The 27,434-nt window shown below is 41.3% G+C and overlaps 2 annotated features.

Moving 5' to 3' along the window:
- Positions 5,789-5,958: an enhancer, noted in NCBI's record as "experimental_13587 CRE fragment used in MPRA reporter constructs". NCBI's record gives its function as "activates a minimal promoter by MPRAs in K562 erythroleukemia cells, with activity observed for both the introgressed and non-introgressed 10:63914890 variant alleles {active_cell/tissue: K562}" and the evidence as "EXISTENCE:reporter gene assay evidence [ECO:0000049][PMID:34662402]".
- Positions 27,059-27,128: a silencer, noted in NCBI's record as "silent region_2396". NCBI's record gives its function as "represses an Ori minimal core promoter by ATAC-STARR-seq in GM12878 lymphoblastoid cells {active_cell/tissue: GM12878}" and the evidence as "EXISTENCE:reporter gene assay evidence [ECO:0000049][PMID:35858748]".

Here is a 27,434-nt window from a genome sequence, read left to right as displayed (position 1 = left end):
ACTCTCCACAGATGGACAGTGGATTGGATTCCTAGGGCCGCCATAGCCAATTACCACAAACTTGTAACTAAGAGTAACAGAAATTTATTCTCTCACAATTCTGGAGACCAGAAGTCCAAAATCAAGGTGTATATAGGGCTGGTTCCTCCTGGAGGTTCTGAGGGAGAAGCATCCCATGCCTCTCTCAGCTTCTGTGGCACCTGGCCATCCCTGGATTCCCTTGGCATGCACATGCGTTCCTCCAGTCTCTGTCTCTGTCTGTACATGGCCTTCCCCTCTGTGTCTCCCTGTCTGCTTTCTCCTTTTCAGTCTTTTATAAGGATCCTTATCATTGGATTTAGGGCCCACCCTAATCCAGGACAATCTCATCTCAAGATCTTTACCTTAATTACATCTGCAAAGACCCTTACTCCAATGTAAGGTAACATCCTGAGGTTTCAGGTAGACGTATCTTTTGGGGGTCACCGTTAGCCCCACTACAGGCAGCAAGTCCTGTGCTGAAGGGATAGCTGGGCAGCCTGTCTTCATATCTATATTTTATCAGGTAGGAAAAGAGTGATTGGAAAGGGGAGCTGAGAGAAAAACAGGACAAATGTGAGGCTCAGAAGGCAAGCAGGTTGCCAAGCAGATCAGCTTTAGAAATGAGAACATATGGAAGACGAGCGTCTGGAAATTGATACTCCTTGGAAAGCCTTTGTGTACCCTAGGGTGACAAGTAACCCAGTTTGAGGATTTAGTTCAAGCTGATTATTTCCTTGCAGGAATAGAGATCTTAGGTTGCTAGGTCTCTAATTATTGAAGAGAATTAGAAATTCATAATTTAAGTAATATCTCCTTGTTTTTAAATATTAGCTAGTTCAAAACAAACAATGTAGGCAGAAGGAAAAAAAAAAAGTCTGTGGGCTGAATATGGCCCCTGAGGTAACCTGCACTTTGCAATGTTTCTAAAACTATTCCTACCACAGCAAGTAGAAGAAAGGCATCTTCCTTTGATGACCACAGATTTACCATCTCATTTAGAGGGCTGTATCAGTCAGGGTTCTCTAGAGAAACAGAACCAACAGGATATATATTTATATAAAGAGATTTATTTTAAGGAATTGGCTCACACAATTGTGGGGGCTGGCAGGTCCAAAATCCATAGGGCAGGCTGGCAAGTCAGAAACTCTGGCAGGAGTTAATGCTGCAGACTCAAGGCAGAATTTTTTCTTCTGCAAACCACAGTTTGTGTTCTTAGGAACTTCCAACTGATTGGACAAGGCCTGGCCAATTTTGAGGGTAATCTCCTTTACTTGAAGCCAACTTATGATAGATGTCAACCACATCTGCGAAATAGCCTTCCCGGCAACACCTAGATTACTGTTTAATTACGTAACTGAGTACCATAGCATAGCCAGGTTGACACATAAAAGTGACCATCCCAAGAGCCATTACTCACCATGCTGACATGTTAGCTGCCTCAGTCACACTCATTGGTGCAGAGGAGGAAAGGAAGGCCCAGGAAGGGGAAGTGACCTGTCCAAGGCCACATAGCTGGCCAGGAGAATGAAAATGCAAAGCCATGCTCTGAACTCTCAGGCCAGTACCATTTCCACTATTCTACTCTCATGCAGCTCAGTGTCTCAAGACCAAATCACAGCATTTTAGAGAACAAAAGCCCCTAAGGTCATATGGGCCAAACCCCTCATTTTATCATAAGGTTTAGAGACATTAACTCATGAGAATTTTGATTCCCAGGGAAGAGCATTTTCCACCCACTGCATTGCCTTTCACACAGATGGAGATGATTGTACTCAAAGTCAACTGATCTTGGTTAATTTTTTTCTTTCAGAACATCTCTCTGAAGAAGATGTTCTGAAAACATCTCACTGATAAGAAAACTTGCTACGTTCAGGTAACATTCTGAGGTTTAGGGTGGATGTATCTTTTTGGGGTCATCATTTACCCCACTACAGGCAGCAAGTCCTTTGTTGAGGGATGGCTGGGCAGTCGATCTTCATATCTACTGCATTTTATAAAGTGGGAAAAACTGATTGTAAAGGGGAGCTGAAAAAAAAAGACAAATATAAGGCTCAGAAGGCATGTGTGACGGTCAACAAAACAAAACAAAAAGGTCACTAGTCTTATTAATCGAAAGTTCAAGTTGTTGGGTGCCAATCAATGTTTTTTCACAAAAATTTTGTGGACATTCACTGATTATATTTCTAGAGCAGCAAAACTAAGAATTAAGCAGTTCCTTGATGGATTCACTTTTGAACTCTCTTTCTGTTACACTTGTGGTTCTCTCAGAAGACCATAGGAGTGGCTCCATTTTTGTAGCTCACAACAAAGTGAACTCCAACTTTAATCAGTTATATATTACATTACATCCATTCCTCTGACTTATTCAGTCATAAGTCATATTTCCAAATCACTTTCTCCCATCATGTGCCCCAAACTCAGCTCATCTCAGTCACAGAGCAGAGGGCGTGAGCCTTATCATTACATTTTTCTGAGTGTGCCTGTAACTAAGCCTAACGTGCATGTTGGCAATCCCAACATGGTCAGAGACACTAAAGGGCAAATTAGGGTGATGAAGGGTGGTCAGCATGAAGCTCTCTAAGAGGTGAGGGCCAGAGATGTTTCTGATTTCTGACGTCTAGATGTGAGAGGCCAGGGGTTTCTCAATGTGTCTCTGGGAGCTGTACTGGTAAGCAAGTCCTTCCTCTTCCTAACTGCTCTTCTGTGACAAAGCTCTGACTTTTATTTCCAACAGGGTCTTGGTATTTCTCCTACATTTTGTGTATTATTTGAGGGAGGTTTAAAAGCAGAAGAGTTTTTTTGTTTGTTGGAAAGAATGGAAAAAAATTGATTTATAGGGCTTAGCTGAAGAAAATGAAAATCCCTAAAACTGCATAATCTCCTTTTCTCTCTGTCCTTTCTCCACCTCTAATTATTTTTTAAAAAATTTAAGGGAGGCAGAAGAATGAATAAAAATTAACAGTAACATGGAGTTTACTGTTTGTCTAGGAGGGGAGGGAAGAATCAAGTCTCTGGATACCACATGTCCTCTGAAATAGCAGTGAAAGAAAAATAATTAGCAAATTCTATTTATTTTCAGAGCCAAAGTCACGATTCACTTCCCACAGAATCAAAACCTAGAATCCTGATATCAAATTTAACAATACGAAATTCTTTATTTTCCAAGATAAATAGGTTTGGGAAATGACCAGTGGAATTTTCCACTTCAATTAGCCACAATGGGAGTTTACATTATTACACAATTGCAAAGAAATTTAGTAATGAGCATCACAATGGAAAATTAATAAAAGCTCAGTATAGCCTGGCCCATTCAAGTAATTGTCAATTAAGGCTACAATCAATACCGAGCTAATAGCTCATGAACAAGGATAGTTGGGTACTTACTTCATTAACGTTGCAAATCGATGTCAACCATTTGGGAATAAGTGCAGAGAAATGAGCTCATATATTGGAGGTAATCATAGTTGGGGAACTTGCTGGATAAAAGGAGACTAAGGATTCAGAGTCTGCAAATAGATGAATGTCAGGGAGAAGCCCGATCTGGTTAATTAGTGTTCTGGTTAGCAGAAGGCAAAGCTTTTGTTTCAACCCTTGATGTTGAAATCCTTTGGAAGTACCTTAGCTTCTTTTCCTATACTTGGGATACTAGCAATTTGCATTTATTTCCCCTTCCTGTTTGACTTAAGCCATTCATAGTTCTTCCTCTGCCATTAAAAAAAAAAAGACTATTAATATTTCTTCCATAGTCCGTTGTAACATCCGGCAACCCATCCTAAGGTGCATCTTTTCATTCATCAGGTAGGCCTTCGGAAGGCATTTACTTAGAGAATAATCTCTTTAGGATCAGTATTGGTGGGCACTGGGCATCATCCTTCCTCCCCTGCTCCCCCTCCCCCGCACTGAAACAAATATGTACATAATACAAAGTCAGAATGTATTTTGGAAATAATTTTAAAATTCTATGCCTAATGGAAGGAAAATGATCATATGGAGAATACCCCAAGCACTGTATTGTTGTTGACTTTCCAGTCTAAACAGTACAAATCCAGCACTATGTAATCATACTCATAAATTTCACCACCTCCCTATTGTCATCCAAAGAATTTATTTCCCAGACCTTATTGTCTGAGAATTTATGGACTTCTTTCTTGCCTCATCTCCTTCACCAGAATGTACAACCTGTGGTCTGCACGGACACTCCCATCCTCTGTTTCTACTCTTCTTGTGGAAGCTCATAGCTCCATCCTGTTTGATATTTCTCCCTATCCCTCTGTTCAAATGTGAGCACTCCCAAAACGCGTGGTAACCGTAAAGCCATGTGGAAAAGAAAGACATGGGGACAGGTCTGGGGTCACAGACTCAGTGACAAGCCTGAGTTAGAAGGCTAAGAGGGGATTCTTTTGCCGACCTTATGGATCTGAGACTTGACAACCTTCTACATTTTAGTTGGTCTCTGTATTTTATTAAGAACACATGTTTAGAGCATTCCACTTGGGACTCAAAGAAAAGCACGTATCTCCACAAAGTGGGAAAAGCAGGTAGACCGATGGGGGGAGTTACACCTTATCCTTCAATCTATGAGTATCTCTTTAGTAGAAAAGTAGAAAAGAGGAAGTTTGGAAGCAGGGTAAATGAATAATCACTGGGCTTCTGCTGCTAGTGCCAGGCACTGGGCTGGACGCTTCATCAACATCATGTCATGTAAAGAGCTATTGACTAGGAGTTAGGAAACTAGGATTTAGGAATAACTTTTTGTGGCCTTGAAGAGACATCACTTAACCCTCACTGGGCCTCCATTTTCCCATCTATGAGCGATGTCAGGATCCAACAAGACAATGAGCTTGGCAAGAGATAAATCTCTCTTGGCTGGGTGCGATGGCTCATGTCTTTATCCCTGCAGTTTAGGAGGCCAAGGTGGGTGGATCACCTGAGGTCAGGAGTTTGAGACCAGACTGGCCAACGTGGTGGAACCCCGTCTCTACTAAAAATACAGAAAAATTAGCTGGGTGTGGTGGTGGGTGCCTGTAATCCCAGCTACTTGGGAGGCTGAGGCAGGAAGAATTGCTGGAACCCCAGAGGCAGAGGTTGCAGTGAGCCGAGATCACGCTATTGCACTCCAGCCCTTCAGCCTGGGTGACAGCAAGACTCTGTCTAAAAAACAAACAAACAAACAAAAACAAAAGAAAATCCAGTTAATTTAAAGAGTGCTTACATATATTCAATAATAACGACAATGATAAAAAGATGTTACTTTTTTGTATTGAATTCACCATGATTTTCTTTTCAAAACCAAGTGTTCTCCTTTATGAAGAAGCCATTGGAAGTCCATAATTGTTCAATAGCATCTGCCCTTGCTAATTCCAGAGGAGCTGTAAATTAGGATACACACATGTGGCCAAAGGAAACCATTTCCTTGCCTGTCACCTCGTATGTCAACGATCAGTCAGGAGCTGGCTTTTATGGCCCCCGTAAGAGCCAGGAAATGGGGCACCCTGATGGAGCCGCAGACAGGCCCTGGACGACCCCGCCACTAACTGCACACATTTTGTAAGCTTGCCTGCCAGGAGATGCTTTCTTCACAGAGTTAATATATGAAGTGTTTACTATAGCACTTCATGAAGATTCCCTTCTCCACAAATCCCTCCTCTATGGAGGCCCCTCCCCCTAATTTTAGGAAGAGGGCCTAAGAATGCTCCATACAGGTTGTAAGAAGAAGGTACTTCCCGCATTACAAGTTGCTCCCTGCCATAAGTGTGTAAGAGGCACACATGCACCTGCCTCCAGCAAGTGCAGTAACCACTGGGTCAGTCAGCTTAATCCTCCACTCTCTCCAGCACCCATCAAGGTTTCTCTACCATTCTACATTACAGTCACCAGCAAGCTGTTGATCAGAATTGTGTGCTCTACCCTCTCCTCCCTGGCCAAGTCTCCTTGATGGAGTTATGCTCAGATGTGCCTGGGTAATGCTCCCAGGGGGTCTTTCAAGAAATGTCCATTTGAAACCCACAACTGTATTTGTTCTAAGGATGTTGTTATTTACTGTCTCACAGAAAATCCCTTCATGAAGACCATAAAAAAAGTCTTTGATTCAACATTAGAAAGAGCTAGGCTCTTCCTGAGGCGCTGGCTTCTTGTTATTGCTCCTAATTTTGTTTCTGTGAATACAGCAACTGGCCTTTGCTCTCTTTTCACTGGCTGCTAGAAGACTTTGTAGTTCACCTCTACTCAAAACTGCTCATTAAGGATTTTTAACCACTGACTTTATCCCTGGTTTTATCTTATTTCCCTAACTTCCCATTCCCTTGATCCATTTCATCATTTATTTTTGTTATTTAATAATGTATGGAGCTCTGTACACAACTTTAAAACTTTCTGGAACTGGGTATAGCATAAATACCTAAAAAGCAGAATATCCATTCCAACATGTATTGAGCACCTACTCTATGCCATGCCCTGTGCTTGGTCCTGAGGCCCTTAGATAAAAATAATACAGATCGCTGCTCCTGGGGAGTTTACAACCTGGGTGTGCTGTAGTGCCCTATGGACCTCAGCGACTGGGAACCACTACCAGGCACACTTTGCTCACATTGAACCCTGGATATGCAGGAGCTGAACCATGACAAGGAAGGGCCAGTTCTGACTATGTAGCTTAGTGGTCATTCTTTCTTCCCACACTTCCTGCAATGTACTGGGATTGGTCTTCTGCATGGGGCTATTTGTGTCTATATTTCCTCCAGAATGCTAAATCTGCAGTGCAGTTTATACCCATACATTCCAGGCAAGAGAAAGGTCTCAATTAGTATTCATTGACTGGATGGACAGATGAAGGGATGTTACTTTCTTGCTTAAATACTCCAGTGTAAAAAATCATATTTAGCATAAAATTTAAATTCCTTACATTGGCCTGTAATGAACTACACTATCTGCCATGCACCCCTACCTCTCTGACCTCCTTTGCTTTACTATCAATCTTCCTTTTGTTACTTTCACACCTGTAAGTTTTTGTCCTCGGGATATGACCAGACCAGATCCTTTCTTCATTTAGGTCTCAGCTCAAATGTTAACCATTTTTAAGAGGTTTCATCCACATGAAAGTATTGTCACCACCAGCCCCACCTCCATCACTGTGGATTGAATGTTTCTGCATCTTTGACTTTAGACCATTCATGTTGACTGCTGAATCGCACACAGCCTACTGAAATAACCTGCTGATTGCACAAGGTCAAGTTTATTCCCCAGTGCAGTAAGAGATACGGCTCCTTTGATGGAATCTTAGAAGCATCTTAGAAGGGGGTGGTCAAGGATGGAATATTGATAAGATTTTGAGGAACTAGTTTAGGTGGGTCTTTTAATGTAGAGACTAATTAGAATTGTTCAAAGTTGTGATATAATAGTTTGGGACTGATGAATATAGTGAAGTGAGGTTTTCACACAGCACCTCGACAGGTATGCAAACCCCTTGGGTTGTTCTGAGAAGGGGCCAGCTACTCTGATGAGGACTAGTGAAGAGTCTATTGGTCAGACAAATGCATTTCCAGGAACTTCCTGAAACAAACAATAACATTATTTGCAGCTTCATCATTTTAGGGCTAGCATTTTGTGGAGTTGTGCAATCATGTTAATGCTGAGTCAAATAGTTGGATCATGTTAGGATGTACAGTAAGCTGTGTGCTTATAATGGTTTCAGTTCTCATTCATCACTATAAAATTATTATGTTTATTTAATTACTCTTTTATTATCTGTTTCTTCATTATCACCACATACAAATATAATTTCATGTGTATGTCATTCCTCCTGTTCATTTCTGTGTTGAGTACTTACAATAGGGCCTGACACCAAATGGATGCTGAGTATTTATGAAATTTAAAGTAAAATCACAACTTTGCCTGTATTCAACATCAAAGGTCAGAATGCTACATTATCAACTTCTTGCTGAAGTCCAAACAGCACCTGTTTCTTTCATCGGGAACCTGTACAATGGAAATGTGGATATTGTGTTTGGATTAGAGTGCTCCCAGAGTCTAAAGGAATTTATTCTCTCATTTATAATGAATACTTATTCTCTCATTATAATGAGAGAATATTTTATTCACTTAATCCACAAGCGTTTTATGAACCCCTCCTATGGGTCTAGCATGGTGCTGGATGTTTGCTATATCAAGCATCTGATTGCTAATTGCCATCTGCAAAAATTGAGGGGTCTGAACAAATCTGTTCTTCTCATTCCCCTACATGTCTGAGTTGAAATAACATTGAGCATTTTTAGGCATTAAAAAGACCTGCTCATAAAGAGATGACACATCTCTTTAAGGAAAATGGAAAAACATTCCTTGCTTATGAATAGGAAGAATCAATATCGTTAAAATGGCCATACTGCCGAGAGAAATTTACAGATTCAATGCTATTCCTATCAAACTACCAATGACATTCTTCAAAGAACTAGAAAAAAACTATTTTGAAATTGATATGAAACTAAAAAAGAGCCCAAATAGGCAAGGCAATCCTAAGCAAAAAGAACAAAGCTGGAGGCATCATGTTACCCGACCTCAAACTGTAGTGCAGGGCTACAGTAACCAAAACAGCATGGTACTGGTACGGAAACTGACACACAGACCAATGCAACAGAATAGAGAGCCCAGAAATAAAGCCATACACCTGCAACCATCTGATCTTTGACAAAGCTGACAAAAACAAGCAATGGGGAAAGGACTCCCTATTTAATAAATGATGCTGGGATAACTGGCCAGCCATATGCAGAAGATTGAAACCGGACTCCTTCCTTACACCATATACAAAAATCAACTCAAGGTGGATTAAAGACTTAAATATAAACCCAAAACTATAAAAACTCTGGAATATGGCCTAGGAAATACCATGGTAGACATAGGAACTGGCAAAGATTTCATGATGAAGATGCCAAAAGCAATGGCAACAAAAGCAAAAATTGACAAATGAGATCTAATTAAACAGAAGGCCTGCATAGCAAAAGAAACTATCAACAGATCTGGCAAAATAAACAGACAGTCTACAGAATGAAAGAAAATATTTGTAAATTATGCATTTGACAAAGGTCTAACATCTAGCATCTATAAGGAACTTAAACAAATCTACAAGAAAAAAACAACCCCATTGAAAAGTGGGCAAAGGACATGAACAGACACTTTTCAAAAGAAAACATACATGTAGACAACAAGCATATGGAAAAAAAGCTCCATATCACTGATCATTAGAGAAATGCAATACAAAACCAAAATGAGATACCATCTCACACCAGTCAGAATGGCTATTATTAAAAAGTCAAAAAAAAAAAAAAACCAGATGCTGACAAGGTTGCAGAAAACAGGGAATGCTTACACAATTCTGGTGGGAATGTAAATTAGTTCAGCCATTGTGGAAGGCAGTTTGGTGATTTCTCAGAGAACCCAAAGCAGAGTTACCATTCGACCCAGTGATCTCATTAATTGTGTGTATTAGTCAATTCTTGCCCTGCTACAAAGAGATACCAGAGAGTGGATAATTTATAAAGAAAAGGGGTTTGATTAGTTCATGGTTTCATAGGCTGTACAGGAAGCATGATGCTGGGATCTGCTCAGCTTCTGGGGACACCTCAGGAAACTTGTAATCATGGTCAAAGGCAAAGGGGAAAACCAGTACTTCACATGGCCAGAGCAGGAGGAAGGGGATGGGGGAAGGTGCATACACTTTTAAATGACCAGAACTCAGGAGAACTCACTCTCTATCAGGAGAACAGCACCGAGGGGGAAATCCGCCCCCATGATGCAATCACCTCCCACTGGGCCCCATCTCCAACACTGGGGATTACAATTCAACATGAGATTTGTGTGGGGACACAGATCCAAACCATATCATTGGGTATATAACCAAAGGCATATAAATTGTTCTACCCTAAAGACACATGCATGTATATGTTCATTGCAGCACTATTCACAATAGCAAAGACATGGAATCAACCTAAATGTCCGTCAGTGATAGACTGGATAAAGAAAATACCTATACACCATGAAATACTATGCAGCAACCAAAAAACAGAATGATATCATGTCCTTTGCAGGAACATGGATGGAGCTGGAGTCCATTATCCTTCGCAAACTAACTCTGGAACAGAAAACCAAATACCACATGTTTTCACTTGTAAGTGGGAACTAAATGATGAGAACATATGAACACAGAGAGGAGAAGAACACACACTGGGTCCACTTGAAGGGACAGGGTAGGAGGAGGGAGAGGATCAGAAATAGTAACTATCAGGTAGTATGCTTATTATCTATGTGATGAAATAATATGTACACCAAACCCCCATGACATGAGTTTACCTATATGACAAACATGCACATGTGTCCCGGGAACTTAAAGTAAATTTTAAAAAGACATGCTCATAAAGGATATTTAAAGACATAAGAAAATATGTAACATTAAATATATATAATGATATGTGACATAAAGATATATATAACATATATTCTTAGGTTTAATGCTATATATTATATATAAGAAAATTTGTTATACATTATATGTAAGAAAATATGTTATATATTTTCATATGTAATTTTTTTATTATTTTTTTTTTGAGATGGAGTCTCGCTCTGTCGCCCAGGCTGGAGTGCAGTGGCGCAATCTTGGCTCACTGCAAGCTCCACCTCCTGGGTTCATGCCATTCTCCTGCCTCAGCCTCTCGAGTAGCTGGGACTACAGGTGCCTGCCCACCACGCCCAGCTAATTTTTTGTATTTTTAGTAGAGATGGGGTTTCACGGTGTTAGCCAGGATAGTCTCGATCTCCTGACCTCGTGATCCGCCCGCCTCGGCCTCCTAAAGTGCTGGGATTACAGGTGTGAGCCACCGTGACTGGTCTTTATATATATAATTTTATAGAGGAAAAGAATAACATAAAACTATGTTTGGTGTAATCCAAATTTTATAAATAAATACATGGTTGACAATAAACCTCTGACAGACACACACAGACTGACAAGGAATAGACCAAAATGATAGCAGTGCTTAACAACTCTGGATGGTAAAATTATGCCTGGTTTTTATTTTTATTTTTTATACTTCTCTACTTTTTGACAGTTAGTGTATTTTTTTTAGAATGGTATTTTAAAATGTCACTTTCCTGTTTGAGGGTGGGGAAGGTGGGAGAGTTGCCAGATAAAATACAATGATGCCCTGTTAAAACTGAGTTTCAGATAAACAGTTTTTTTTTAGTATAAGTATTCTCCCAATATCACATAGGACACATTTAAATTAAAAACTATTCATTGTTTATCTAAATTCAGATTAACTAGGTGTCCTGTCTTTTGTTTGTTTGTTTTTGTTTTTCTTTGAGACAGAGTCTTGCTCTGTCGGCCAGGCTGGAGTGCAGTGGCACGATCTCTGCTCACTGCAACCTCCGCCTGCTAGGCTCAAGCAATTCTCCTGCCTCAGCCTCCCAAGTAGCTGGGATTACAGGCGTGTGCCACCATGCCTGGCTAATTTTTGTATTTTTAGTAGAGATGGGGTTTCACCATGTTGACCAGGCTGGTCTGGAACTCCTGACCTCAGGTAATCCGCCCGCGTCAGCCTTCCAAAGTGCTGGGATTACAGGTGTGACCCACCGCACCCGGCCAGTGTCCTGTGTTTTTATTTGCTAAGTCTGGCAAACCGAGACAGAGGGAGAATTCGTCAGAATAAGCTGGGGAACTTTTCAAACCTGTCTTGTGTTCCCCACACCCAACCAGATTCTGATGTGTCTATCCACCCACCTGCCATCACTCAGACTTTGATATCTTCTCCCAGGGGTATCCTAGAAGCTGGGGGCTGAGGGTGGCATTGAAGTGGGGGCTGTGCAGTGAAGCACTCTGGGGTTGAGGAGGCGCCAAGAGTATTTCAGTCACATCTCTCCTGTTTTCCCTGGTAGGACTTAATGCATTTGACACTGCGAGAACAACTCTTTGGGAAGCTGCAGGACGCTCCTGACAATGTTCTGGTTGGTCTGTTTTCATAATTTTTGTCCCCAAGACCACTGGTGGCCTGTCACACTCTGGAAAGGCTATGGTGCAGAAATGGGCTAGCTGGCTGGTGAGGAAGCAGAGCTCTAGGCTGCTGGAGGCCTCTGGCCTTGAAGACCCAACTCTGGATCTCTAAATTTGCAACAGAGCCTGGGGTTAGACAGAGGGAGAGCTGTCTCCCCAGAGCACAAGTGTCTGGCAAAGTCAGCAGCCACTAAAGGCCAGGAAGCTGATTGGACTGTCCCAGCTTATGTAAAACTCTCTCCTCCAGCCTCACCACCTTGACCATGGCAGAATGCATTTAGGCCAGAGGACAAATGCGTCCAGAGAGAACAATCTTCTCTCAGGAAGGAAGTATCTAGAACCAATGGCCTGTGGCCGAGTACTGACTTGACACCCTTAGGGGGCTCTGAAGAATTGACAGCATTTTCCTTTTGGGGGACCATAGCGAAAGACCTGAAATAACCCCTCATGGCCACACCTCACAAAATAATACTGCAAGCGCAAATAGCTAAACATTCACCAGGATTTGTAAACATGGACTTCAAAAAGGTGATAATTAACAAGGTGTAGGGCAAGGGGTAATAGAGGAGAAACAGCAGGCTTTGAACAAAGCCCTGAATCCTCTAGGCCTCAATTTTATCACCTGCAAAATGGGTGGGTTAGACAAGGTGACATGAAAATTACCTTCTGATTTCAAAGTTCCAAAATGTTAATTTGGGGGATTAATTGTGGGGCGAGGGAGGCATGTTCAGTCTTTATAAAGCTGAATGATGACTCAGATAAACCTAGTGTCATTTACTAAACCTTGCTGTATGGGAGGATAGGAATTGCTATTTCTCAGGTATTTACTTGGTGCCAACCATTGCACATGTTTGATCTCATTTCTATGCTTCAGAACAACTCTTGGAGGTCACTATCATTATCTTCATTTTCTATCCAGGGAAATGGAGCCACAGAGAGGTTCAGTGATTTTCTTATAGCCACATAGCTCACAAGTGTAGAGCCAGGATTTGAATCAAGCTTGTCTTCTGCTGAACTTGAGGCCTCGCCCACCACACCATGTAGACTTCCCGTAGCCACCTGTGTTGCTGACCTGAAACCCAAGTAACCTGTATTCTTGAGCTCTCACCAGCACCAGGTGAGGTACAGAGATGGGGACAAGGGGCAGCACACCCCTCTCTCACGAGGATTAATCTACAAACTGTGAATACGGAATAGCCTACAACCAGCAACTGTGTACTGGGGACAAATGCCAGAGGGTATCTTCAAAGGCCCCTGTGTTCCAGAATTCTCCTCATACTGATTGTCTGATCTCTGAAATGTCTTGAGCACCATCTAGTGCTTTTCATTACTTATCCTGACCTTCCCCCACCGTCTCTTACCAAGTGAAGAAAAGTAGAAACCATGCCTTTCGCCACTAACTGGTTTAATCATTTCCATGCATAGGCCTTGACTGGGCAAGACAGGGGACATATGGGTGTCAGTTTTACCTGAATAAAGGCACTAGGAGAAAAAAAAAAGGAGAGGTTGGGAAAGGAGGCATCAGAAAGTCTTTGACTTCAGAGTAAATACTCAAGCAAGTTTCCTGAATATGATGATCAGTCAAGTGAATTATTTGGTGACTGTGGACCTTGGCCATTTTCAAGCCTCTTAGGGATAATCACAAGAAAAATAATAAGTAAAAATATTGGAGCAACCAATAGAAAAGAGTTTTCTTGGGCAGAAATAGAGAATTTCATTTATTTGTATGAGTAGCTACCATTTCAACGGTGTTTGCCATTCCACTTGGAGGAAACAAATCCTTCTGGAGCACACTGAGGGACCCTCTTGGCTATGAAAATGTAAGACTAGATGGCATTCACTGCCGGCCGGGCGTGGTGGCTCATGCCTGTAATCCCAGCACTTTGGGAGGCTGAGGCAGGTGGATCACTTGAGGTTAGGAGTTCAAGACCAGCCTGGCCAACATGGTGAAACCCCATCTCTACTAAAAATACAAAAATTATCTGGGCATGGTGGCACATGCCTGTAATCCCAGCAACTCGGGAGGCTGAGGCAGGAGAATCACTTGAACCCAGGAGGCGGAGGTTGCAGTGAGCTGAGATAGCATCACTGCACTCCAGCCTGGACAACAGAGCGAGACTCCATCTCAAATACATACATACATACATCCATACAATAGAAGGCATTCACTGCCTTGACCTCATTAGATGGTTTCTTGAGTTGAGTTCCCCAAGAGCAGACCCCGAGATGAGGATCATGAGAAGCGATTGATTAGGGAAGTGCTTCCAAGGGAGTTCAGTGAGCAGGTGAAGAAAGCAGAACAAGGAAAGGAAAGAAACTGAACAAGGAGATGAAGTTGCTTCACCGCCATTCCCACAGAGAAACTTTGGAGCGCTAGTTACACCTCACAGTTGTCCAACCGGAGGTAAGGGAGCTAGCTGGGTTTTCTACGTTGGTGAAGGACCACATTTGCTGGGGGATGCTGGAAGTGAAGTCTCAGTCACTGACATATCTGAGCTTGAATATATGACAGTAGAAACCTCCATGCAAATGCAAGCAAAGTGGCTCCAGCTTCATGGGACACCACTGAAGACCCACAGGTGCCTTAACAATGTTACCTCTCTCTATACCCCTGGGCATATAGGACTAGTTTCTGAACAACCAGTGGGTAAATCAAATAGATCTAGTGTGGGAACCCTCCCATTTTTGAAGGCCTGATGAACTGAGGTGGTCCTGAGTGAGTCCTACTTACAAGAAAGGAAGGTCAAGTGAGAAGGAATTCACCATTAACTTAGGGGAATTGGAGTTTGAAGATGCGCCTATTAATTCATCTACCTAGCATGGTGGGTTCACTTTGGGACACTGGCTGAATGTATGAGGATGGATTATAACCTCAGGAGCCCAAGGTTGGAGCATCATAGACAAGCATGACACTAAGCTAACAAGGCCATCCTTCCTCAAAAATCTACTGCAGTCTGAACTGTGTGTGGCATTATGGAAGTAGTGGGCAAGGATGCATCTGGCTGGGAAGGCCATGTCTTTTCCATGGTGACATAGTCTAATGTAGTCATTGCAATAACAGAAACAACTAGGGATAAAAAGGGAAATCTGTTAGTGGACTGGTCAGATTTTGCAATTCCTCCCAGAGGGATGTCTGAAAACTCCACCGACTAGACTAAGTGCTCTGGTTCTAGGACAGTGTAGCCAGGGGGTTCCAAGATAAAGACACTACTTCCTACTCATATAGACATACAGTGACTCTATATTAATTTAAGTATCAGAAACAGACCTGGTAAACTGCTGATGTCTGTCAACATGTAAAGAGCTTGGAAGTCATCACTCCTATCCTCATGACAAGAAAAAAGCTGAACTAACTGAAAATCAATAATTCTTCCTAGATCCATCAGAGAATTGAGGTTACAGGGCAACTGCTGCCCTGAAAACTACAGAGACAAACAGGTGGATTCAGAAAACCACAGCTTACATGGAGCAGAAGCCCTTCGCCACATCTAATATCCATAGGAATGTTTTAAGCTAATATGGATGAATTGCTGAAGGCTCCATGTGGACAAACATGAGAATTTTAAAACTCTAAGGGAACCTGATTTTATGGAGCCTCTCACACATTGAAGAGGTTTATCTCCAGTACTCTCTCCAGGTTCTCATTGTGAGGACTGGAGAAAAATCCCCCTATGCAGAGGGAGGGGAAAAGTAACCTTTTGAACAACACTGAGAGCTCTCTCTTCTCCTTAACAAGGCCCAACTTCAAGGGAAACTAATTTCCAAGTTCCTGACATACTGCAGTTTAACCAGAGCCTAACCAACCTGGAAGAAGGGGAATACCCAATTCAGGATTTCTAAAACACTGAGACCTCACTGTAGGATTATAGAAAACGTCTCCTCTGTCCACACCTCACCACCATATCAGTCCAGCTCCTGAATAATAGCACGATTACAGCTAACAGAACTGCAAGTCTCAGTCCCTATTTAATAGGTCTCTAAGAAAACTCAAAAAACGGGCGAGACAAAAGAATGCTAGAGGCAACTTTTGCCCCTGATGTCACAGATGCAGCAAAAAGTAAACACAACCTAAGTAGCCAAACATGAAACTTCATGCTAAAATCCTATTTAACTCAGTTCCTTTGACCTAATCATTTCAGGCTTTCAACTAAAAATTACAAGGCATGCACAAAGGCAAAATGAACAACGACAACAAAAAACACAGTCTGATGGGACAAAGCAAGCCTCAGAACCAGACTCAGATACAGCAGAGATTTTGAAATTAAAATAACTCTTAATTAATATACTAAGAGCTCTAATAGAAAAAAATGGACAACCTACAAGAACAGATGGGCAATGTAAGCAGAATGATTTTTCTTTTTTGGTAAGAACTAAAATTGGGTGTGTTTATTTCTTTTTTAAAAAACTTTTTAGGTTTAGGGTACATGTGCAGGTTTGTTATATAGGTAAACTTGTGTCACAGGGGTTTGGTGTACAGATTATTTTGTCAGCCAGCTACTAAGCATAGTGCCCAATAGTTATTTTTTCTGATCCTCTCCTTCCCCCCACCCTCCACCTTCTGATGGGCCCCAGTGTCTGTTCTTTCCCTCTTTGTGTTCATATGTTCTCATCATTTAGCTCCCACTTTTAATTGAGAACATGCGTTACTTGGTTTTCAGTTCCTGCATTAGTTTGCTAAGGATAATAGCCTCCAGCTCCATCCATATTCTTGCAAAGAACATGATCTTGTTCTATTTTTTTTGTCACTGCATATTATTCCATGGTATTTGTGTACCACATTTTCTTTACCCAGTCTACCACTGATGGGCATTTAGGTTGATTCCATGTCTTTACTATTGAGAATAGTGCTATGATGAACATACACATGTGTCTTTATGGTAGAACAATTTATATTCCTTTGGATATACACCCAGTAATGGGATTGCTAGGTCAAATGGTAGTTCTGTATTTAGTTCTTTGAGAAATCACCACACTGGTTTCCACAATGGTTGAACTAATTAACACCCCCAACAGCAGTGTATAAGCATTCCTTTTTCTCCATAACCTTATCAGCATCTGTTATTTTTTGACTTTTTAATAGTAGCCATTCTGACTGGTGTGTGATGGTATCTTATTGTGGTTTTGATTTGCATTTTTCTAACGATCAGTGATGTTGAACGTTGGCTACAGGTATGTCTTCTTTTGAAAAGTGTCTGTTCATGTCCTTTGCCCACTTTTTAATGGGGCTGCTTGGTTTTTTTCCTTGTAAATATGTTTAAGTTCCTTATAGATGGATATTAGACTTTTGTCAGATGCACAGTTTGCAAAAATTTTCTCCCATTCTGTAGGTTGCCTGTTTACTCTGTTGGTAGTTTCTTTTGCTGTGCAGAGATTCTTCTATTTAATTAGATCCCACTTGCTAATTTTTGCTATTGTTGCAATTGCTTTTAGCATCTTCATCATGAAACCTTTGTCAGTTCCTGTGTCCAGCATGGTATTTCCTAGGGTATATTCCAGAGTTTTTATAGTTTTGGGTTTTAAATTTAAGTCTTTAATCCACCTTGAGTTGATTTTTTTATATGGCGTAAGAAGGAGTCCAGTTTCAATCTTCTGCATATGGTTACCCAGTTATCCCAGCTCCATTTATTGTATAGGGAATCCTTTCATCATTGCTTGTTTTTGTCACCTTTGTCGATGATCAGGTGTTTGCAGGTGCGTAGCCTTATTCCTGGGCTCTCTATTCTGTTCCATTGGTCTGTGTGTCAGTTTCTGTACCAGTACCACACTGTTTTAGTTACCATAGCCTTGTAGTATAGTTTTTAAGTAGGGTAATGTGATGCTTCCAGCTTTTTTCTTTTTGCTTAGGATGGCCTTGGCTATTTGGGATCTTTTTTGGTTCCATATGAATTTTAAAATAATTTTTTCTAGTTCTGTGAAGAATGTCATTGGTAGTTTGACAGGAATAGTATTGAATCTTTAAATTGCTTTAGGCAGTATGGCCATTTTAATGATATTGATTCTTCCTATCCATGAGCAAGGACTATTTTCCCATTTGTTTGTGTCATCTCTGATTTCTTTGAACAGTGTTTTGTGATTCTCATTGTAGACGTCTTTCTCCTATGTGGTTAGTGTATTTTTAGGTATTTTATTCTTTTTATGGCAATTGTGAATGGGATTGTGTTCCTGATTTGGCTGTTGTTTTGGTGCTTTCTGGTTTATGGGAATGCTACTGATTTTTGTACATTGGTTTTGTATCCTGAAACTTTGCTGAAGTTGTTTATCAGTTCAAGGAGCTTTTGGGCAGAAACTATGGGGTTTTCTAGCTATAAAATCATGTGGCTGGGTGCGGTGGCTCACAACTGTAATCCCAGCACTGGGAGGCCGAGGCAGGTGGATCACAAGATCAGGAGATCAAGACTATCCTGGCTAACACAGTGAAACCCCGTCTCTACTAAAAATACAAAAAAAATTAGCCGGGTGTTGTGGTGGGCGCCTATAGTCTCAGCTACTTGGGAGGCTGAGGGAGGAGAATGGTGTGAATTCAGGAGGCGGAGCTTTCAGTGAGCCAAGATTGTGCCACTGCACTCCAGCCTGGGCGACAGAGCAAGACTCTGTCTCAAAAAACAAATAAATAAATAAATAAAATAAAAAATAGAAAAAAATCATGTTATCAAGCAGAAAGACTAGAGCTCTAACAATCTAACAATCTAAAGTAAATGCTAGAAATCAAAAATTCTGTAACAGAAATGAAGAAGGCCTTTGACGGGCACATCAATAGAGTAGATAAGGCCAAGGAGAGAATCAGTGAGCTTCAAGATAAGTCAATATCCTCAAAAATTAGGCCAGGCACGGTGGTTCACACCTATAATCCCAGCACTTTGGGAGACCATGGCGAGTGGATCAGTTGAGGCCAGGAGTTTGAGACCAGCCTGGCCAACATGGTGAAACCATGTTGTCTCTACTAAAAATACAAAAATTAGCCAGGTGTGGTGGCGTATGCCTGTAATCCCAGCTACTCAGGAGGCTGAGGCACAGGAATCACTTGAACCCAGAAGGCAGAGGTTGCAGTGAGCAGAGATTGTGCCTCTGCACTCCAACCTGGGTGACAGAGTGACACCTTGTCAAAAGAAAGAAAGAAACAAACAAACAAAGAAGGAAGGAAGGAAGGAGAGAGAAAGAGAGAGAGAGAAAGAGAGAGAGAGAGAGAGGAAGGAGAAGAAACCTCGAAGACTAAAATTCAAGGAAAAAAATTTTTAATAGGACAGAATTCAAGAAATAAGAAATGATTAATATCATTAATATGTAATGATTAATATGTAGTAAGAATATAAATAAAGAGAACAAAGAGAGACAGGATCACAAGAAATATTTGAAATAATAATGGCAAGAATTTTTCAAAATTAACAACAGACATCAAACCATAGATCCAAGAAGCTCAGAGAACACCAGGCAGGATTAATACTAGAAGAATTTATACCTAAGCATGGCCGAGCACGGTGGCTCACATCTGTAATCCCAGCACTTTGGGAGGCCGAGGCGTGCAGATCATGAGGTCAGGAGTTCAAGACCAGCCTGACCAAGATGGTGAAACCCTGTCTCTACTAAAAATACAAAAAAATTAGCCAGGCAAGGTGGCAGGCACCTGTAAGCCCAGCTACTCGGGAGGCTGAGGCAGGAGAATGGCATGAACCCAGGAAGTGGTGATTGCAGTGAGCCGAGACCACGTCACTGCACTCCAGCCTGGCGACAGAGCGAGACTCCATCTCAAATAAATAAATAAATAAATAAAAGAAAAATGAAAAAAAGAATTTATACCTAGGCATATCGTATTCAAGCTACCAAAAGTCAAAGATCAAGAGAAAATCCTTAAAGAAGCCAGAGAAGAAAAATAGAGCTTATGTACAGAGAAACAATGGTAAGAATTACATCCAACTTCTCTTTAGAAATCATGCAAGCAAGAGGCAGGGCATGGTGGCTCACACCTGTAATCCTAGCATTTTGGGAGGCCGAGGCAGGCAGATCACGAGGTCAGGAGATAGAGACCATCCTGGTTAACAAGGTGAAACTCCGTCTCTACTAAAAATACAAAAAATGAGCTGGGTGTGGTGGCGGGTGCCTGTAGTCCCAGCTACTCAGGAGGCTGAGGCAGGAGAATGGTGTGAACCCGGGAGGTGGAGCTTGCAGTGAGCAGGGATTGCGCCACTACACTCCAGCCTGGGCAACAGAGTGAGACTGCATCTCAAAAAAAAAAAAAAAAATCATACAAGCAAGAAAAGAGTGTGCTAAAGAAAATTAATGTGTTGAAATAGAACCAAAAACCTAGAATTTCATATCCCAATAAAATTATGTGGTTGGGCATGGTGCCTCATGCCTGTAATCCCAATGCTTGGGGAGGTTGAGGCAGGAGGATCACTTAGGCCAGGAGCTCAAGACCAGCCCGGGCAACATAGGGAGACCTTGTCTCTACTAAAAATAAAAATAAAATAGCTGGGTGTTGTGGCACATGCCTGTAGTCCCAGCTACTCAGGAGCCTGAGGTGGAAGGATTGTTTGAGCGTAGAAATTTGAGAGTGCAGTGAGCTGTGATACCACCACTGCACTCCAAGCTGGAGCAACAGAGCAAGATTCTGTCTCTTAAAAAAAAAAAAATCCTTAAAAAGTGAAGGAGTAATAAAGCCTTCCTCCCATAAATAAAAATTGAGAGAATTTGTCACCGGTAGGCCTGACTTCTAAGAAGTGTTAAAAGAAGTTCTTCAGAGAGAAGAAAAATGATACAGGTAAAAAACTCAGATCTGCATGAAGAAAGGAAGAGCTTTAGAGAGGGAATAAATGAAGATGATATCTTTTCTTTTTCTTGATCTTAATTTATCTAATGAATAACAGTATGTTCAAAATAATAATGGCAACAGCATAGTGGGTGATTATCCCTTATGGATAAGTGAAATGAACAACAGTGACACTAAAAAGAACAAGAGGGCTGGGCGCAGTGGCTCATGCCTGTAATCTCACCACTTTGGTAGGCCAAAGCGGACGGATCACAAGGTCAGGAGTTCGAGACCAGCCTGGCCAACATAGTGAAACCCTGTCTGTACTAAAAATACAAAAATTAACCAGCTGTGGTTAAAATGGGAATATTCTGTTATAAGGTACTTGAACTGTCTGTGAAGTAATACTATGTTATTTGAAAATTGTCTGGCTTCAGTTGAAAATGTATATTGCAAACTCTAGGGCAATCATTAACAATTATAAAAAATTTTTTTTTGAGACAGAGTCTCGCTGTGTCACCCAGGCTGGAGTACAGTGGTCTGCAGCCTCCGCCTCCTGAGTTCAAGTGATTCTTCTGCCTCAGCCTCCCAAGTAGCTGGGATTACAGGCACCCGCCACCATGCCTGGCTAATTTTTGTATTTTTAGTGTAGGCAGGGCTTCACCATGTTGGCCAGGCTGGTCTCGAACTCCTGACCTCAAATGATCCGCCTACACCGGCCTCCCAAAGTGCTGGGATTACAGTCATGAGCCACCATGCCCAACCTAAAAACATTTTTTGAAGAAATATAATTAATATGCTATGACAGGAGAGAAAATGGAATGATATAAAATGTGCAATTAAAACCAGAGAAGGCAGGGCTGGGTGGGGTAGTTACATCTATAATCACAGCACTTTTGGAGGCTGAGGTGGGAGAGTCACTTGAGCCCAGGAGTTCGAGACCAGCCTGGGCAACATAGAGAGACCTCATCTCTACAAAAAAGAAAAACAAAATTAGCCTGGCATGACTATGCTACTGGTAGTCTCAGCTACTCAAGAGGAGGTGGGAGGATGACTTTAGCCCAAGAGGTAGAGGCTGTAGGAAGCCAAGAGCATACTACTCCACTGCAGCCTGGGTGACAGAGCAAGACCCTGTCACAAGAAACAAAACAAACAACAACAACAACAACAAACAAACAAAAAAAAGAGAAGGCAGAAAAAGAATGGAAGATAAAAATCAATCGATTGATCAGTTAATCAAGGGCAAATATAGTATGTATTAATCCAACTACATCAATAATCACTTTAAATATCATTGGTCCAAATACACAATTAGAGGACTGAGATTCTAAGTGGATAAGAAAATTAACAGCCAACTATATGCTGACAAAAATAATCCTACTTTCAATTTAAAAATACAGATACATTAAAAAGAAAGGAATGGAGAAAGAGCATGCTAACACTAATCAAAATAAATCTAGAATAGCTATTATTAATTTCAGAAAAAATCATGCATAAAAGCAAGAAATATTATCAGCGATAAAGAGGAACATGACATAATGATAAAGGGGTAAGTTATTCAAGAGACATTACAGTCCTTAATATGTCCACACCTGCAATGTATTTCTGATGCTGACTTAACAGGTTAAGGGCTCAGTCCTCCACAAATCTCTTCTCACTTCAGATACTAGCTGCAAGCTCCCAGTTTCCAGGCTACCCACACTTCTGATCAAATGGCTACAGATTTGGGGTTCCCACTATCCTCTTAGGCCTGATCATTCACTAGAATGACTTACAGAACTCAGCCAGGCGTGGTGGCTTACGCCTGTAATCCCAGCACTTTGGGAGGCCAAGGCAGGTGGATCATGAGGTCAGGAGATCAAGAACAGTCTGTCCAAGGTGGTGAAACCCCCTGTCTCCACTAAAAATGCAAAAATTAGCCAGGCATGGTGGCAGGCGCCTGTAATCCCAGCTACTCAGGAGGCTGGGGCAGGAGACTCGCTTGAACCTGCGGGGGCGGAGGTTGCAGCGAGCCGGGATTATGCCACTGCACTCCAGCCTGGGTGAAAGATTAAGACTCCATCTCAAAAACAAACAAACGAAAAGAATGACTTACTGAACTCATGAAAGTGTTTTACTTTTGATTACAATTGTATTATAAAGGATACAAACCAAGAACAACCAAATGAAGATGCATATGGGTGAGGTCAGGAAGCGCCTTATCCTCAGGACACATCACCTACCCAGCATATCAATGGGATGGAAAGTGCTTACTCAAGCTCCGTGTCCAGAGTTTTTATTGGGTTTCACTATATGGGCATGGATGATTGAATCACTGGTCATGTGACTGAACTCAATCTCCAGCCCTCCTTCTCTGCATAGAATATTACTATAAAGTTACAGTAATTATGGCAATGTGATATTGGTACAAGGCTAGATGTGAAGTGATAGAACATAATAGAGAGGTCATAAATAGACCCACTCATATATAGTCATTGGATTTATAGAAAAGGTACCCCTTTATTCAGTGGAGAAGGGTTGGCCTTTTTAATAAATGGTGCTGGAAGACATATTCATATATATTTTAAAGTTTCTTACTCATTATTCATGCCATGTGCAAAAATTGATGCAAAATGGATATAGAGCTAAAGCTAAAATTTTCTAGAAGAAAAATATGTGAATTCATGTTAATGATCTAGGAGTAGGCAAAGAATTTTTAAATAGGACACAAAAAGTATTAATCATAAAATGTTAATAAATTGGAATTGATTAAAATTAAGAACTTATGTTTATCAAAAGACTTCATCAAGAAAGTAAATATATGAATCCAGATTATATAAAGATTTTCTAAAAATATTAAGAAGACCCCCAAATTATACTGAAAAACTAGCAAAAGATTTGAACAGATAATTTACAAAAGAGGATATCCAAATGACTAATAAGCATACGGACAAGTACTCAACATTATTATTCTTCAAGAAAATGTAAACTAAAAACCCACTAAAATGCTTGTGTATATCCATTAGAATGACTAATATTATAAAAACTGGAAACACCATATGTTGTTGAGGATGTGAAACATCTAGAATGTTTAAACATTGATGGGAATGGAGATTATCACTTAATAAAACCATTTGGTAATAACCACTAAAGATAAATGTACATCTACCCGATGAACTAGAAATTCTACTCCTAAACATGTACCTAAAAGAACTAAGTAAATATGTCCACAAATAGTCATATAAAAGAATGTTTGGGCTGGGCACCGTGGCTCACACCTGTAATCCCAGGAATTTGGGAGGCCAAGGCGGGCAGATCACAAGGTCAGGAGATCGAGACCATCCTGACTAACACGGTGAAACCCCGTCTCCACTAAAAATACAAAAAAAAAAAAAAAAATTAGCCAGGCCAGGTGGCTGGCACCTGCAATCCCAGCTACTCAGGAGGCTGAGGCAGAAAAATGGCGTGAACCCGGGAGGTGGAGCTTGCAGTGAGCCAAGATCACAGCACTGCACTCCAGCCTGGGCGACAGAGCGAGACTCCGTCTCAAATAAATAAATAAATAAACAAAAACTTAGCCGGGCATGGTGGCTTGCCTGTAGTCCCAGCTACTCAGGAGGCTGAGGCAGGTGACTCTCTTGAACCCAGGAGGCAGAGGTTGCAGTGAGCCGAGATTGCACCACCGCACTCCAGCCTGGCGACAGAGCAAGATTCCTTCTCAAAAAAAAAAAAAAAAAAAAAAAAGAATATTTAGGCGAGGTATGGTAGCCCACGCCTGTAATCCCAGTGCTTTGAAATGCTGAGGGGGGAGAATCACATGAGGCTAGGAGTTTGCAACCAATGTGGGCAACAAAGAGAGAACCTCTCTCTACAAAAAAGTAATTTAAAAAATTGGCTGGCATGGTGGCTCACATCTGTAGCCCTAACTACTTGAGAGGCTGAGGTGGAAGGATGGCTTGAACCCAGGAGTCTGAGACTACGGAGCCATGATCATACCACTGCACTCCAGCCTGGATGACAGAGCAAGAACCTGTCTCTTTAAAAAAAAAAAAATGTTTGTAGCACTTTATTCATATTCATCATGGCCTAAACCTAGAAATCACCCAACGTCTATCAAGAGGTGAATGGATAAATCTTGTGTGGTCAATTTCCATATTCTAGAATATCGTTCATCAATAAAAAAGAACAAACTATGGATACATGTAACACCATGGATAAATATTAAAGAATTATATTGAAAGAAAGAAGTAGATATAAAATAGTACTACACTTTCATTTCATATTTGAAGTTCAAGAACAGGAAAAACTAATCAGTGACAGTAAGAGTCAGAAGAGTGACTAGCTCTGGGACAGGGGAGATGACTAGGAAATGACTCTGAGGGAAACTTCTAGTGACAAAACATTGTATATATTTTGGGTGTGTTTCAAGTTTGTAGAAACATGTAAAAATTTGTCAGCCTTACACTTAAGATTTGTCTACTATGGCCGGGCGCGGTGGCTCACGCCTGTAATCCCAGCACTTTGGGATACCGAGGTGGGTGGATCACGAGGTCAGGAGATCGAGACCATCCTGGCTAACACGGTGAAACCCCGTCTCTACTAAAAATACAAAAAATTAGCCGGGCGTTGTGGCACGCGCCTGTAGTCCCAGCTACTAGGGAGGCTGAGGCAGGAGGATGGCGTGAACCCAGCAGGTGGAGCTTGCAGTGAGCTGAGATTGTGCCACTGCACTCTAGCCTGGGCGACAGAGCCAGAATCCATCTCAAAAAAAAAAAAGATTTATCTACTATATGATATATAAGTTACACTTTTTTTTTTTAGAGACAGGGTCTCACTATGTTGCTCAGGCTGGAGTGCAGTGGTATGACCATAGCTTCTGCAGCTTCGACCCCCCTGGGCTCAAGCCATCCTCCCACCTCATCCTCCTAAGTAGCTGGGACTATAGGAATGTGCCATCATGCCGAGCTAATTTTAAAAAATTTTTCTTGGAGACAGGGTCTTGCTAAGTTGCCCAGGTTGGTCTTGAACTCCTGGGCTGAAGCAACTCTCTCACAAAGAATTGCCTCCCAAAGTGCTGGGATTATGGGAGTGAGCCACCAGGCTTTGTCAATACCTCAATTTTAACAGAAAAAAACAATTAAACCTGAATGTACTTGTACCTCAAGCTAATAAAGCTTTTCATACCAGTTATAAAGTCAAAGGTAACTATCATCAGAGTGAACAGGCAACCTAGAGAATGAGGGAAAATTTTCTCCATCTATCCATCTGACAAAGGGCTAATATCCAGAATCTACAAGGGACTTAAACAACTTTACAATAAAAAAAAAAAAACCCATCAAAAAGTGGGCAAAGGATATGAACAGACACTCCTCAAAAGAAGACATTTATGCAGCCAACAAACATATGAAAAAAAGCTCATCATCACTGGTCATTAGAGAAATGCAAATCAAAACCACAATGACATACCATTTCATGCTAGTTAGAATGGCGATCATTAAAAAGTCAGAAAACAACAGATGCTGGAGAGGATGTGGAAAAATAGGAATGCTTTTACACTGTTGCTGGGAGTGTAAATTAGTTCAACCATTGTGGAAGACAGTATGGCGATTCCTCAAGGATCTAGAACCAGCAATACCACTTGACCCAGCAATCCCATTACCGGGTACATATCCAAAGGATTATAAATCATTCAACTACAAAGACATGTGCACACATATGTTTATTGCAGCACTATTCACAATAGCAAAGACTTGGAACCAACCCAAATGCCCATCAATGATAGACTGGATAAACAAAATGTGGCACATATACACCATGGAATACTATGCAGCCATAAAAAAAAGGATGAATTCATGTCCTTTGCAGGGACATGGATGAAGCTGGAAACCGTCATTCTCAGCAAACTAACACAGGAACAGAAAACCAAACACCACCTGTTCTCACTCATAAGTGGGAGTTGAACAATGAGAATATATGGACACAGGGAGGAGAACATCACACACTGGGGCCTATCGGGGGGTGGGGGACTAGGGGAGGGATAGCATTAGGAGAAATACCTAATGTAAATGACGGGTTGATGGGTGCAGCAAACCACCATGGCATGTGTATACCCATGTAACAAACCCAAAACTTAAAGTATTGGGTACAAAGTTCTGTACCCAAAACTTAAAGTATAATAATAATAAAAAAAACTGATAAGAAAGAAACCACAATGTTAATGGCAGTTGTATTTGGTTGGTGGGATTAGAGATTATAGCAGTTTCAAAATGTAGTTGCAAATTCTGTCACACTCTTCACAGCTACAGAAAGCATCTGTGCCCCTTCTTTTTGTATGTGGTTAGTCTTGAGACTGCTTTGACCAAAGAGTGTTGTGGAAATGACTCTATGTGAGTGCTAATGCTGGTTAATAAAAGCACTTGCACCATCTGCCTTGGTCTCTGGAACCACTCACTCTTGGAGTCCTCAACTACCCTAACACTACCTACCATGCTGTGAGAAAGCCCAAACTACATTGACAGGGTCTCCAGTAAACAGCCCCAACACAGCCCAGCCTTTCAGTCATCTGGGCCCAGGTGCCAAGCATGTGAGTGAAGAGGCTTCCACCTGAAGATGGTTCCAACTCCCAGATGTTCAGTCTTTCTACCTGAAGTTCCAGATATC

The sequence above is a fragment of the Homo sapiens genome, chromosome 10 (genome assembly GCF_000001405.40).
Source record: "Homo sapiens chromosome 10, GRCh38.p14 Primary Assembly".
Taxonomy (NCBI): Eukaryota; Metazoa; Chordata; class Mammalia; order Primates; family Hominidae; genus Homo; species Homo sapiens.
This window is presented reverse-complemented; position numbering and strand designations above follow the sequence as displayed.